Here is a 14,271-nt window from a genome sequence, read left to right on the forward strand (position 1 = left end):
CTGTTACCATGCTTGCTTTCCAGAGGGAGCCACTGAGGCACAGAGAGGCTAAAGGATGCCCCAGGGTCACACAGCCAGCACACAGCAGAGCTGGAATCGGATGGGGCAGGCTGGCCCCAGCGGGTACCCTTCCTGGCCTGTGGTGCTGCTTCCCAGCAGACACACTTGCGTGTCTGTTGATTCATCCCCTCCCCGTCTCCATGATGCTAATGCCAGCTGCATGGATGGAGGACCTGCTAGGAGCCCCGCGCCCCGCAGCACTTTGCAAGCATCACACGTCATCTGGTGGAACTCCCATTTGCAGGTGGAGACAACTTTGATCTCAAAGGAATTCATCTCAAACAGTGAAACCAGAATCCCAAGAAAGATGTGGGAGGGATTTTCCGAGAAAACCTCCCCACGTTCCGAAGACAGAGACCTGTCACACAGGGCCAAGGAAAAATCATGGAGCTGGGAGCAGGAGGCCTGGGTATGAGTAATAACAGTCTAACCAAGTATCCCCACTTTTCTAAGAAAAATATAATGAGTTATTATTTTTTATTATCTTTCTCTTTTCTCTGATTCCCCTTATTCCCTACTTCCTACTTATCCCTTTAGAAATGCAATTATAACCTTTTGCCTCCCCTGCACCTGAGGCTTGCTACAGGCCAAGTCCATCTAGCTATGTGCTTAGACACTCCAGAGTGGAACTCTCACCCACCAGGAGGTTGCCTCGGGAGATAACAGTCCATCGACGATCCAAAGGATGTCCGTGACGAAACTCTCTCCCACCTGGAGAGTTTTCAGCTGCTTTACAACCTAGTCCTGCCCATGAAGGTGCCAGCAGTCACCAGTTTTACCACCGCCTGGTAGATAAAGCACCAAGTTAGCGCACAGACCCCCCAAACCTGCTCGCTTCCTCCCTGTGTGCCGTTCATGTTAGGCCCCCTTCAAAAAGCACTTGCCTTCTGCTCCAAAAGTCAAGCCTTAAGGCAGGAAGCCTGTACTTCTTCCCCTAAGCTAGCTTGGGAATAAAAAGTGACTTTCTTTATATTGGACCTCAGTCTTGTTAATTGAACTCTGCAAGGGGCAAGCAATGGAACCTGTGTTTTGGTTATGACGGCGACAGCTGTTGTGTGCCAGGTGCACACTCTGTGAGCCACCCATGGTTTTCAGTGTTTTACACACATTATCTCATTGAGTCTTCCCACAACCCCAGGATGGAAAGACAGCAAACAGACCCAACTTACAGACAAAGCCACCGAGCCCCGAGGGGTCAAGCATCCTGCCTGAGGTCACAGAAAGTGAAAGCCAGCCAGAGGACAGAGCCCACCCTCCCACATCCCCTTGGCTGCCCTGGTGGGGCCACAGATGCTTCCCCTGAAGGCATCTGTGACTCAGCTCCCCATTGTGAAGCGGCTGTGGGCTGCATCCTGGGTTTCAAGGTCTCTCTGGTCTCTGGCATCCTGGGACCCCACCCTCCAGCTTCTCCATCCTATTTCTCCTCCAGCTTCTGCTCACCTGCTTTGGCCCCCACTGTGCAGTGCAGCCTTGTCACAAAGTGCTGGACACCCTCTTGGGGTAGAATTGGCGGATTTTCATGGCACTTTGGCTGGTACTAGCATGTGCCCCCCTAATACCAGCAAGCAGCAAAGATAGTGAGCCCATAGCCACTTGTGACAGCTGTTCCCTTCCCGCTTCCCCTACCTCCCCCAACCATATCTTCCTTAAATAAACAATAATTTCCATAGACTAAAAAAGGCCACAGCCCTCCCTCCTTCTCTCCTTGGCCTGTGCTGTCCCCTCCCACACTGACCCTGGGCCTGCCCATGTGACCGGCTTCGGTGTGATGCAGACAGAGGCTTGGAAAGCCCTAGTGTGTTAGGGTTTGTCCACTCAGTACACTGGGAACATTGAGGCCACCAAGTCAGTGAGCCTGAGGCAGTCTGCTGCACAGGCCACAAGGGGAAACTGAGGGGCCCCAGGCTACCATCTGCCAGGCACCAGACAAACAAGTGAGCCCACCTGAGATCATGTCATCACCAACCAACCTTCCAGCTGACCACAGAGCATGATATTACCCTGCAGATAAGAGTTCAGCCCAGCCAGCCCCCAAAACGGCTCAGGCAGCCCACAGAGTCATGAGCTCAAGAAATCACTGATTTTAAGCTGCAGAGATTTGGGCTGGTTTCTTACATGGCAAAAACTAACTGACACAGCCACTAACGTTTGATTTGAGGATTGGGTATTAGGTGTAAGTGTTCAAGACTTCTGTGCATTGGAAAAATTGCTTTCAGGGCAGACTGGCCTGAAAATTATTCTTTACACCAAAAGCTTAAGTTTCTAAAACCTGCTCAGAGCTCTAGCACGGACCTCAAAGGGTGGCTGATGGAACAGCAGAGGTGTCCTGATGCAGAGACACAGGGTCATTCCCAAGGACTTAGGTCTGGGGACAGGTGTTTTACAGGCTCCTTTAGGGGTGGCAAGTCTCCCGGAAACGTGATTAGTGAAGACACATTAACAGCGAAACTGACAGAGAACCTCAACATTCTCTGGTAGGAAAAGCCAGGATCCTGGCAGAGGAAGCAACGATTCGAGCAGGGAACTGTGCAGGACAGAGAACAATGCGGCCCCAATTTTGATCCGGGGGTAATTAGCTTAGCTAAGGAGTTCCCCAGTCCCTAAGTGGAGAGGGGATCCAGAACCCCACAATTTATTTTTATATCTTAGTGTATGTATCTATGCATCACATATGATAAGACAGAATATTTATACAGATATTTTAGTTAATGGCCTAATAAAACATATACATAATTATTATTCCAGAGCAAGGTTCTGCAAAACACATTTTTCTCCTTTCTTTTTTTTTTTTTTTTTTTTTTTGAGATGGAGTTTTGCTCTTTTAGCCTAGGCTGGAGTGCAATGGTGCGATCTCGGCTCACTGCAACCTCCTCCTCCCGAGTTCAAGCCATTCTCTTGCTTCAACCTCCCAAGTAGATGGAATTACAAGTGCCCACCACCACGCCCAGCTAATTTTTGTGTACTTTTAGTAGCGACAGGGTTTCACCGTGTTGGCCAGGCTGGTCTCAAACTCCTGACCTCAGGTGATCCACCCGCCTCGGCCTCCCAAAGTGCTGGGATTACAGGTGTGAGCCACCGCACCCAGCTGCAAAACACTTTTAATTTTCTTCATAAAGTCCTGACAGTCCCCAAACACTGTGACAGACAGATACCTGCTCTGGGGACCAGTTACATCTTCCTGAAGGTGTGGAGTCCCTTCGCTGGATGAGGTTGTTGGGTTTCATCTGACTGTCCAGGCAATGCAGTGAGGCAGGTGGGAGCCCATTTTACAGACCGGGAAACCAAAGCCTAGAAAGTTGAGATGGGTTGTTCAACGTCCTCCACCTGGTACACGGCAGGCCTGGGAGTCCAACCGAGCCAGCCCCTCTGACTGCACACCCAGCAGACCTTTCCCAGCGTCATAGGCACTAGAACCAATGCCATCTCCCTTCTTCCTGCTGATGGAGGGACAGACCCTTGCTCTGGTGGCCCCACAGCCAACCCTCGGGTCTTCCTTGGAGCTCTTCCCTGCAAGTGAGCACCTAGATGAAGGCCCTGGTCAGCTGCAGGGGAGTCGGGGGGAACTCCTCCAGGGTGGGATCCACATTCAGCCTGGCTTCCAGGGGTGTCAATGAGAACCCAACCTCCAAATGTTCCTTGGCTAATGGTAGGAAGATAACTGGGTGTCAGCCGGGGGCCCTCTTGGGAGAGGCGGGGTTTAAGCGCGTCTTTATTTCCAAGGTTGCATCTGCCCAGAGCAGGAGATTGGGTTTGTTTGTACTGCAGCGGGTCTTTTCAGCCGGTGGGTACATTTGGCAGCAGCTTCCAATCTGATTAATTCTTCCATGCCTTGGAGGGGCCCAGAGGCTAGGCAGCAGCCGGGGCTCTTTCATTTGTCTGGGAGGAAAACACATGACTGCTTAGCTAGGGCAGGTAGCGGTGACGAATTTGTCCTCCCCAGGTGGGGGCTTGGGGCCAGAGACGGAGAAAGCAGTCTTCTTCAGTGCTTCCCTGCACAAAGCTGGTGGCAGGCAACACCCGGGCAAAGTTGGGACGCTCACGTCCGGCAGAGGCAGCGGGCCAGCACTCTGTAGGGCATTGGCACCTTGCCGCCAGCCCCCGCCCGGCATGTATGCCCACAGTGGTCTGCCTGCTCTGCCGGCCTCGACCCTCCTGCCTCCAGGCCTTTGCCCTTGCTGGTTCCCCTGCCTGGAGCGCTGTACCTGCAGCCTTTTGATGTTATTTCCAAAGGCGGTTACAAAAGCAGGCTGCCAAGAGCACCTCCTGCAGGGGACGACCCGCATGGCACCTTCTCTGGAGACTGCCAGCCCCTGCCTGGTGTAGCTGCCTGCAATCCCGCCCTGGCCACCTTACCTGCTCTACTATTATTTCTTCTCTCTGCACTTACTGTCACCCCTTATGTGGTTGTTGATTGCCTGTCCTTCCCTCTCCAGGATGTTAACCACAGGGACAGAGACTTTTGCGTATTTTGTCGGTACCGGACGAACCCTTCACAGGGGGATAACTGTGCTCCACCATTATCAGCTAAATGCTTGAGGACAAGGAGACGGCTTTGAGCCTCATCACCATCTTTTCAGGTGGGGCAGACAGGCCAGGATTAATACCCCATTTTGCCAGCAGGAGAAACTGAGGCTCAACAAAAGGAGATTTGCCTGATGTTACCGAAAAGGTGACAGGCAGAGTCAGGCAGAAGCCCAGGTCCAAGCCAGCCAGCACCAGGGACCCTCACACAGGGAATGTGGTGGGGAGCAGCTCTCTGCAAAGCTTGCCGTCCCTCAGGATGGGGGGTACAATGTGGTCATCACCAATAACGTGCCGTTGCAAACTGAGGAGTGTGTACTTGAAGGGTGGCTCACAGGTGACCTAGCCTGGCCCTGGCATAGGCCACATTTGGGCTGAGACAAAAGGGTGGGCAGGAACCCTCAACTGGCTTCGGGGAGAGAGTGGGGGAATATTCTCAGGCTGGGGGCAGTTTGTGCAAAAGCCCTGAGGCAGGACCTCAGCATGCATTTGAGGCAGTGACAGATGCTCAGGGGGGCCCATACCAAGAGCGGAAGAGCTGCTGGCCCATCATGGGCTGGGCCAGAGCCTGCAGGGCCTTGTGGGCTATGCTGAGATGTTCGACCTTTACCCGAGGGAAAGGAGGCCCTTGAAGGTTTTATGTGGGGTGATGTCACGAGGTCTGAGGACCCAGACTTAGATGTTGGGGACTCTCTCTGGCCACCAGCCCCGGTCTCCTGGCAGCCCAGGCCCCATCGGGTGTGGAAGCACTTCGGGCATTTCTGCAGCATCCAAACCAGATGTCGCCGGCTGCCTTAATGACCTGTTGATCCTCCAAATGCCAGGAATCAATTTCCTGCTGCTCTGTTGCCAGGATCTGGCTGAAGATGCCCCTTGCGAGGGCAGCGGCACACATGGGCCTCAAGGGTGGCCTCTGGGGAAGTGGTGGGGTCGGAGACACAGCTCAGATTCTTGGGGCACAACAGCGGATTGGGGGACCAGTGTAGGACCCCGTGCAGAAGGCACAACATTTTTCTAGTAGGTTTCGATGTGGCAGCACATTTCTGTCGCCTCCATCACAAATACTCACAAAGCTCCTGCACCGGGTGGACTACTGTCCCTCAAGCCCGTGTCTGCCTAGAACCCCAGCATGCGATCTCATCTGGAAACAGCATCGTTGCAGATGTAATTCATTAAGATGAGGTCATGCTGGATTAAGTGGGCCTTAAGTCCAGTAACGTGATCTTCTTTTTTTTTTTTTTTTTTTTTGAGACAGAGTCTCACTCTGTCACCCAGGCTGGAGTGAAGTGGCACAATCTTGGCTCACTGCAACCTCCACCTCCAGGGTTCAAGCAATTCTCCTGCCTCAGCCTCCCGAGTAGCTGGGATTACAGGTGCATGCCACCACACCCAGCTAACTTTTGTACTTTTAGTAGAGATGGGGTTTCACCATGTTGGTCAGGCTGGTCTCGAACTCACAACTTCAGGTCTCAGGTGATCTGCCTGCCTCAGCCTCCCAAAGTGCTGGGATTACAGGCATGAGCCACTGTGCCCAGCCCCAGTAATGTGATCTTCTAAGAAGCCCTGGAAAGACACAGCAATGCGCCCAGAGCCGGGAAGAAGGACAGGCGGCAAGGGAGGCAGGACAGGAGTGAAGCCACTGCAAGCCACATGCCCAGGGATGCCGCAGCCACCAGGAGCTGCAAGAAGCAAGACAGCATCCTGCCCAAGAGTCTTCAGAGGGAGCACGGCCCTGTCGCCACCTTGGTTTTGGACTTCTGGCCTCCAGAATGGGAGAGAATAAAAGTCTACTGTTTTTTAAGGCCCCATTGTGTGGTCTTTTATTATGGCAACTCCAGGAAACCTGCTACAGCCCCCAGCTCTGGCTCTGGCCGTGGGAGATTCCTTGAATTACTATGACAAAGAGCCCTCTCAGTGGAACTGGTTGCTTTGGGGGCCACCAGACACCTGCACCCTGTCCTGTCCTGGTGAGTTCACCATTGTTTGACTCTTCTACTAGGGAAGTGCCCAGGCCAGGAGGCTGAGGTCATTGGCTCCAACTGGGTCAGCCAATCAGAGGCTCCCCTGGGACTTTGCTCCAGCTGGCTCAGCCAATCAGAGGCTTCCCTGGGACTTTGCATCTAGAGCTTGTGAGGCAAAGAAGCTGGTGCCATCAGGGAGTGATCATGGTAGAGACTGTGCCTCCAGTGTGGCAGTGCCAGCACCCACAGCAAGGGCTGCCTGGCCACTCTATTCCCACAGCTGGACCTGCTTCTGTCCTGGGACACCAGGCTGCCCTCGACTCCTGTCCCCTTTCTTGGCTAGGATTTGGGCTCCTGTAGATTCTGAGAACCCTCACATAGGCTTTCTATGAGATTTCTGCTGTTTGCCACTGAACCTCCTGATGACCACCTGCTCATGCAGGCTCTGCCTACTCACAGAGGGTGGGAACAGAGGCCGTGCTGTGACCTATTGGAGTCTCACAGTAGCCTCAAGGGAATGGGTCATTACTCATTTGTAGAGGGGAGGGGACTGAGCCTCAGAGAAGTACAGGGACCTGCCCAGGGTCACACAGCACCTTCCCAGGGGGCAGGTTTGCATCCCAGCTGCTGCTGGCTGGGACGGTGAGTCAGATCTCCAATGACAGCTGGCAAATTCTCCCATTGCCCTGTGTCTCCTCCAGCCCCTCTCTTTTCTACAAGGTTTGTGACATTTCTCCAGTCATAATCACCTCCAGAGAAGAGCAGCTCTTAGCCTGACCCTGTGTTGGCTGTGGTGCTTGGAGCTGGGGGGATGAGGAGGGGCAAGGCAGACTGTTCCCAAGATACTCACGAGCCTGCACAGGGATGAGAGAGACCGAAACAACGACAGCCCATCCAATGTGAAATGGAGTCAGGAAGTCATTCTAGAGAAAGAGTGTTTTCTTCTTTGGGAGGTGTTGGGGAAGCTGACAAAGGCTTTCTGGAGGAGCCAGCCTCAAAGTTTTGAGGGATGAATAGGAGTCTGTTGGGTGGCCAAGGTCCATGGGAGGCAGTGGGTATTGGTTAGGATCTTGGCCAGGAGCCAGAAGCTTCTGGGCCTTCAGGAAAGAACCAGAATCCAAGGTCCAAGACCCTAGCCCAGTTACCCTCAGCCCACATGACGATGCATATCAGCTCCTCTGGCCTCACCTCCCAGCTCTCCCTGCCCTCCCAAACCCCTCCAGGGCGCTCTGAGGAAATCTGTCTGATACCAATGAAGAGGGAACACCTGAGACAGGAGTTTCTCTTCTTTTTTTTTTTTTTTTTTTTTTGAGACAGGGTCTTGCTCTGTAGCCCAGGCTGGAGTGCAGTAGCACAATCTTGGCTCACTGCAACCTCTGTCTCCTGGGTTCAAGCGATTCTCATACCTCAGCCTCCCGAGTAGCTGGGACTACAGGTGCGTGCTGCCATGCCTGGCTAATTTTTGTATTTTTAGTAAAGACGGGATTTTGCCATGTTGGCAAGGCTGGTCTTGAACTCTTGACCTCGAGTGATCTACCTGCCTTGGCCTCCCAAAGTGCTGGGATCACAAGCGTGAGCCACTGCACCCAGCCCAGAGACAGGAGTTTCTGTGTCCCTTGGCCTCTGCCCTGCAGGGGAGTTCTGTGCTACTTCACAGACAAAACAAAGCCAGTTGGCAGTGTCAATGGCTTGGCTGGCCAGCTCTTCTACAGGTGATGTGGTAAGAGGAGCCCTGTGCAGCCCAGAGTGGGCTGGCCTGGTTGGGTAAGGTGTAGCAAGCCCTGCAGGAGAGCCCCTCTTTCTTTGTTGTTGCTGATCTAAATTCTGCATCCAAAGGAGAGGCCAATGGAAGGGCCAAGTCATCTTAAGTGGTGTTTATCTTTTAGCTTCCTCCAGGCTGCTATACATGCTATACACACACACTTCCCACAGCCCTCCCACTGCCAGGGAGAGGCCTCCCTTTGGCACCCACCCCATCTAACCTGAGAAAGGGGAGACGGTAGTGAGAATGTGGTCTGCCTAGGGCCCAGTGAGGACTGGGGACAGCCAGGAGCCCAGGGAATAGCCTGGGAATAGCCTTGGGACTCATCCAGTGGCCCAGGTAGAGCCGGGCCCAGGTATGCCAGCTGCCAAGGGGGACAGATGTGCTGGGACCTGGGACCTGTCCAGCTTTACCTTTCTACTCAAGCCCTGGCTGGGAACAGAGCTTGAAGTCCCAGTTGCCTTTGGACCCAGGAGACCCTGGTTTCATCACGGATCATTGTTCAACAAATTCACATTCTTTCATCCATTCATTCCCTCAATGACTCATGACCATCTCAGTGCTGGACAACACCAGGACTAGCAGATAAAGCCCCCTCCTTTAGGAGCACCTAGCTGGTGGGAGAAAAAGACAAGAACATATAGAGTGACTACAGAGAGTGATCAGGGCTGTAATGGGGACCCACAGGGCAGAGGTTGGGGACCCAGAGGAGAGGCCCGCCTAAGCCTGGGGATTGGTGAGCATGTGCCCAGCATCTCAGAGAGACAATCCATCTACATTCATTATTGGTTCCTCCTCTCCCATCTAATTAATCGCTGTGACTGTATCTCTCTCAACCCACCTATTGCTACCACCTCCACTGTATCTGCCAAGTTGAGGCCAGCATTGCCTCCTACCTGCCCTCTATCCTGATCTCCAAGAAAGGAGAAAAGTGATATAAAATACAGGCAATATCAGTTCAAAAACACAGGAGAGCTATGAAGGCAGCCTGGACTTGAGGGCCAAGATCCCAGAGAGAAGGAAAACTCATTAAGGTGAGGCTGATATTCTACCCTTCTATTCCTGTCATGACATCTGCCAATTTGTAGGTAGCTGTTCCAACAGGCTGAGAAGCCAAGAAAAAGCCAAGCAGAAAGTGACAGCTAATCAGAACTCCTGGAAGTCGCAAGGGACCAGGAAGATAAATCTTGGAGTTGAGGGCTATCAGAGCATCCAAGACTTGAAGATGTAAGTTCCAGGAGAAGAGAAGCACAAAGAAGTGACCCCAATACTCTCTCCATCTCCCCTTTGAAAAATGTGCCAATTCCTAAGCAAAATAAACCTAGCAGAAAGTGGCTGTTTAGACTGAAAATCTAAGAACTTTTAGCAGATTTATGGTCAAGGAGGAAAAATTGGAGTTCAGGGATCACCAAGGAGGAGGGACGCAAGAAAACACCTGAGACACCACAGTCTCAGATGGACTCTGAAGGTGTCAATACCCTACAAGTAAGAGTAAATCACAGAAAGCAGGCCTTAGAAGTCTAAAACCCAGCTTAGAGTCAGCTCAGGCCCTGATTAGATTGAAATTATCTCCTCATAATCTAAATGCATTTAGAAGTTAAACTAAACCCTCTCAAGGGGATTATATTATATGAAGATGATATAGGCTTTTAGACGATGTTCAATATGTATTTAAAAATTACCAGGCATACCAGCAACAGGAACAAGAGAAAAAAAAAACAGACATAATAAATGACCCATTGGTGATCTAAATATTGCAGTTATCAGACACAGACATCAACATTATTGTGATGAATATGTTTAAGGAAATAAATAAGAAGATGAAGAATTTCAGCTAAGAGCTGGAATATGCAAAAAAGAAGCAAATAGAAAATCTAGATGTGAAAATGCAATAACTGACAAGAATTCAATAAATGGGGTAAAGAGCAAAGTAGACTAGACTGAATGAGAATTAACTAACTGGAAGATCAATGAGTAGAAAATATTTATATTTATGCATAGCATAAATACATCAAAAAAGGAAAAATACAGAAAAGATAATTTTAAAAAAATACTTATGGGAATCAGTTAAAGATCCAACATACATATAACTGGTGTCCCAGAAAGGGGAGGAGCAAGTGAATTAGGCAGAAACAATATTTGAAAAGATCATTTCCAAGAATTTTTCAAACCTGATGAGATCTCAAGTCAAAATTCAAGAAGCATAACACACTCCCAAGCCACACTGAGGCATATCATAGCATAACTGCTGAGAACTAAAGACAAAGAGAAAGGCTTATGAGCAGCCAGAAAAACGACACATTACCATCAATGAAACAACAATAAGACTGGTAGCTGACTTCTCAAAAAAAGAATGAAAGCGAGAAGTCTGTAGAATGGCACCTTTAAAGTGCTAATTAGCTTGATTTTATCATTCCCTTTGTGTGTGTGTGTGTGTGTGTGTGTGTGTGTGTGTGTGTGTATATCTCTCTCTATATATATATATAATATAAACACATATATACAGACATCACACTGCACCCCACAAATGTATACAATTAACATTTGTAAGAAAATAAGACAACTCTCAACCTAGAATTATAAACCTTATGAAAAATACTTCAAAAATAAAAGTGAAATAAAAATATTTTTGGACAAATAAAAACTCAAGGAATTTATTCCTAATAAACCTTCAACAAAGGAAATACTATAAAAGAAGTTATTCAGGCAGGAAGAAACTTGTTTCAGACAGAAACATAGGCACATGGGGGTTACCATATGAAGAGCCAGAGAAAGGGTAAACGTGAATCTGTGGGTACAACAGAACAACAAGAAAAATGTATGGAAGAGGAAAATCAAATTAAAATGTTCACAGACCCTTGCATTTTTGCATTTACTGTGAAGTGTAAAGTGGTCATTTCAATTAGACTATAATATATCAAAGATGCATGTTGGAATCTATACAGTAATTGCTAAAAAATAACTAAAAATGTATAACTAACAAGTTAATCAGGGGAGAAGTGAAATAATAAAAATATTTGATCATTCTAAAATAAGTAAAATAAGAGGGTGAAGAAATATAGAACAGGTGGGACAAATAGAAAAGAAATACTTTTATTAAAGACAAAATTATCTCATAATTCTAATTGATTTAATTAGCTTTTTAAATCTCCACTATATGCTGCTTCAAAGAGACAGGTTAAATAAAAGGACTGGAGAGGCTGAAAGTTAAAAGATAAAGATCACGCAAACTCTAACCAAAAAACAGGAGGTTTAGCTATAGTAATAGCAGGCAAAGTAGATTTTAAGGCAAAAATCATACCTAGAGATAAAGAGGAATATTTTATAATGAAAAATTGTCAATTGCCAAGAAGATAAAACAATTTTAAATTTCTATAGACCTAATAACATAATCTCAAAATAAACAAAGTAAAACATGGACAGAACTAAAAGGAGAAATAGGCAAAGCAGCAATCACAGTGGGAGATTAATGCATTTGTCTCAGTAACTGATAAAATGAGCAGACAAAAACTGTCTGGACATAGAAAACTCAGACATGATTAAGAAACCTGACCTAACTAGCGTATATAGAACATGGTAAAACAACAACAGTGGGATTCATATTCTTATCAAGTGTGTATGGAACACTTACCATGATGGATTATATGCTGACCCATAAAGCAAGTCTCAGCAAATTTCAAATGATTAAAATCATACATTCTTTAACCACAGTGAAATTAAACTGAAAATAACAAAATGGCAACTAGACTATCGCCACTATTTATAAAGTAATATACTTCTAAATAAACAATGACAAAAAAATTACAATGAAAATTAGAAAATAATTGTGAGCTAAACAGTAATAAAAATGAATTATCAAAATGTGTGCAAGTTAGCTAAAACAGTGCATAGAAGAAGACTTACAGTCTCAACATTTTAGGGGGGAAAAGGCTGAAAATAAGTTATCTAAATATCCATTTCAAGAGGCAAAAAGAAACCCCCCAAAACCCCCAAAACAGCAGCAGCAACAACAAGAATAAAGTAAACCCAAAGAAAGTAGAATAAATAAAAGAGAGATCTGAAAATAAAATAGAAAATGAATATATGATAGTGAAAAATCAACAAGGTTTAACGTTTATTTTTCAAATGCATAATAAAATTGATAAATCCCTAGCATGACTGATCAAGAAAATAGAAAGCAATATCAAGAATAAAAAGGGGACATCGCTACAGACCTTACCATCATTAAGAAAGGATATTATGAACACCTCTTTATTGCAATAAATTTCAAAATTAGTTGAAACGAACAAACTCTTAGAAAAACAAAACTGACCAAGAAAAAAGTTAAAAGTTTGAATAGTCCTCAAAGCATTTGCTTTATAATTTAAAACCTTTTCACAAGGAGATCTCCAGGCCCAGATGGCCTCACAAGTGAATTCTCCCAAACATTTAAGAAATAAATAGCACCAACTGGATACAAATTATGCACATAACAAAAAAAGTGGGAATATTTTTCTACTTGTTTTAGAGGCAAAGCATAGCCCTCATACTTAAAGCTGATAAGAACATTACAAGAAGGGGGCCAGACTGTATTCTCCAAAGGCAGACACACCCATAGGTTTATCCCATCCCACATGCTCCTCTTGCAATGGGATTGACAGTCTTCACTCATTCTGAGTTTGGGAGGAGTCTTGTGACTTCCCTACCAATGAAGAGCTGTAGAAATGATGTTATGTGATTTCCCAGGCTAGGTCTAAAAAAGATAAAAGAACATATACCTCTCCCTCTTTCTCTCTCCCCCTCCCTCCCTACCTCCTTCTCTTCCTCCCTTCTTCCCTCTCTCTCTCCCTCCTTCCTCTATCTTCCCCTACCTCTCCCTCTCTCTCTCTTCCCCTCCCTCTCCCTCTCTTCCCCTCCCTCTCCTCTCTCCTTTCAATCTTTCCCTCCTTCTCCCTTTCTCTACCTCCTTCTCTCTCTCTCTCTCTCTCTCTCCTTCTTAGGGCACTTGCTTTTGGAATCCAGCAGCCATGTTGTGAGGAAGCCCAAGCAACCTGGGGAGCTTGCATGTGGTGTTCATCTGAAAGCCCTGGTTAGGGACCCAGTCAACAGTCAGCATCACCTCCAGGCATCAAAGTGAATGAGACTTCATGCCATTCCTGCTCTCAAGCCTCAAGCCTTCCAGCTGAGGCCCCAGAAAGTATAGAGCAGAGGCAAACTGTCCCTGCTCTGTCCTGTCTCAATCCCAATGATAGATCCATTGGAGATAAGACTATTGTTGCTTTAAACCCATATATTTTGTTGCAATTTTTATGCAGTTATTGCTGCATAAAATACTAATACAAAAAAAGTAAAGATGTAAAACTCCTCAAAAATATTTGCAAACAGAAGCTAGCTATATATACAAAGAATAATACATTATAATCAAATTGGATTTGCTCTGGGAATGCCAGATTGACACTTGACATCCATCAATCAATGTAATTCACCACACTAGAAGAATAATGTACACAATGATATGTTTATCTCTTTCGATATAGAAATAGCACTTGATAAAATTCAACACAGATTCATAATTTTTAAAAAATGTTTAGCATTCTAGGAATAGAAGAAACTTCCCTAATATGATAAAAGATATTTACAATACCCACAGCAAATATAATACTTAATGATGAAAGATTGAAAATATTGCCCCTGAGATCAGGAACAAGTCAGGCACACCCACTACATCTATTCAACATTAAGGTTGTAGCCAGTATAATAAGGCAAGAAAATGAGAAGGGATAAGGATTTGGAAAAAAGGAAGCTGTCAGCATGTATACACGTCATTATTATGATTATGATAGATAATCCAAAAAAAATTTATAGATAATCTATTAGAACTAAGACATTTGGCAAGGTTACTAGATACAAGGTCCATATGCCCAAGTCAATGGTACTTCTATATATCGTACATACATAACCAGGAAATGAAAATTTTAAAATAGTGTA

General features: G+C 46.8%; 1 annotated feature.

Annotated features, from left to right (window-relative positions):
- Window positions 4,798-5,299: an enhancer, noted in NCBI's record as "H3K4me1 hESC enhancer chr22:44765925-44766426 (GRCh37/hg19 assembly coordinates)". NCBI's record gives its function as "activates a minimal SCP1, AML or CMV promoter by ChIP-STARR-seq in primed H9 embryonic stem cells {active_cell/tissue: H9 hESC(primed)}" and the evidence as "EXISTENCE:reporter gene assay evidence [ECO:0000049][PMID:30033119]".

The sequence above is a fragment of the Homo sapiens genome, chromosome 22, assembly GCF_000001405.40.
Source record: "Homo sapiens chromosome 22, GRCh38.p14 Primary Assembly".
Lineage (NCBI taxonomy): Eukaryota > Metazoa > Chordata > Mammalia > Primates > Hominidae > Homo > Homo sapiens.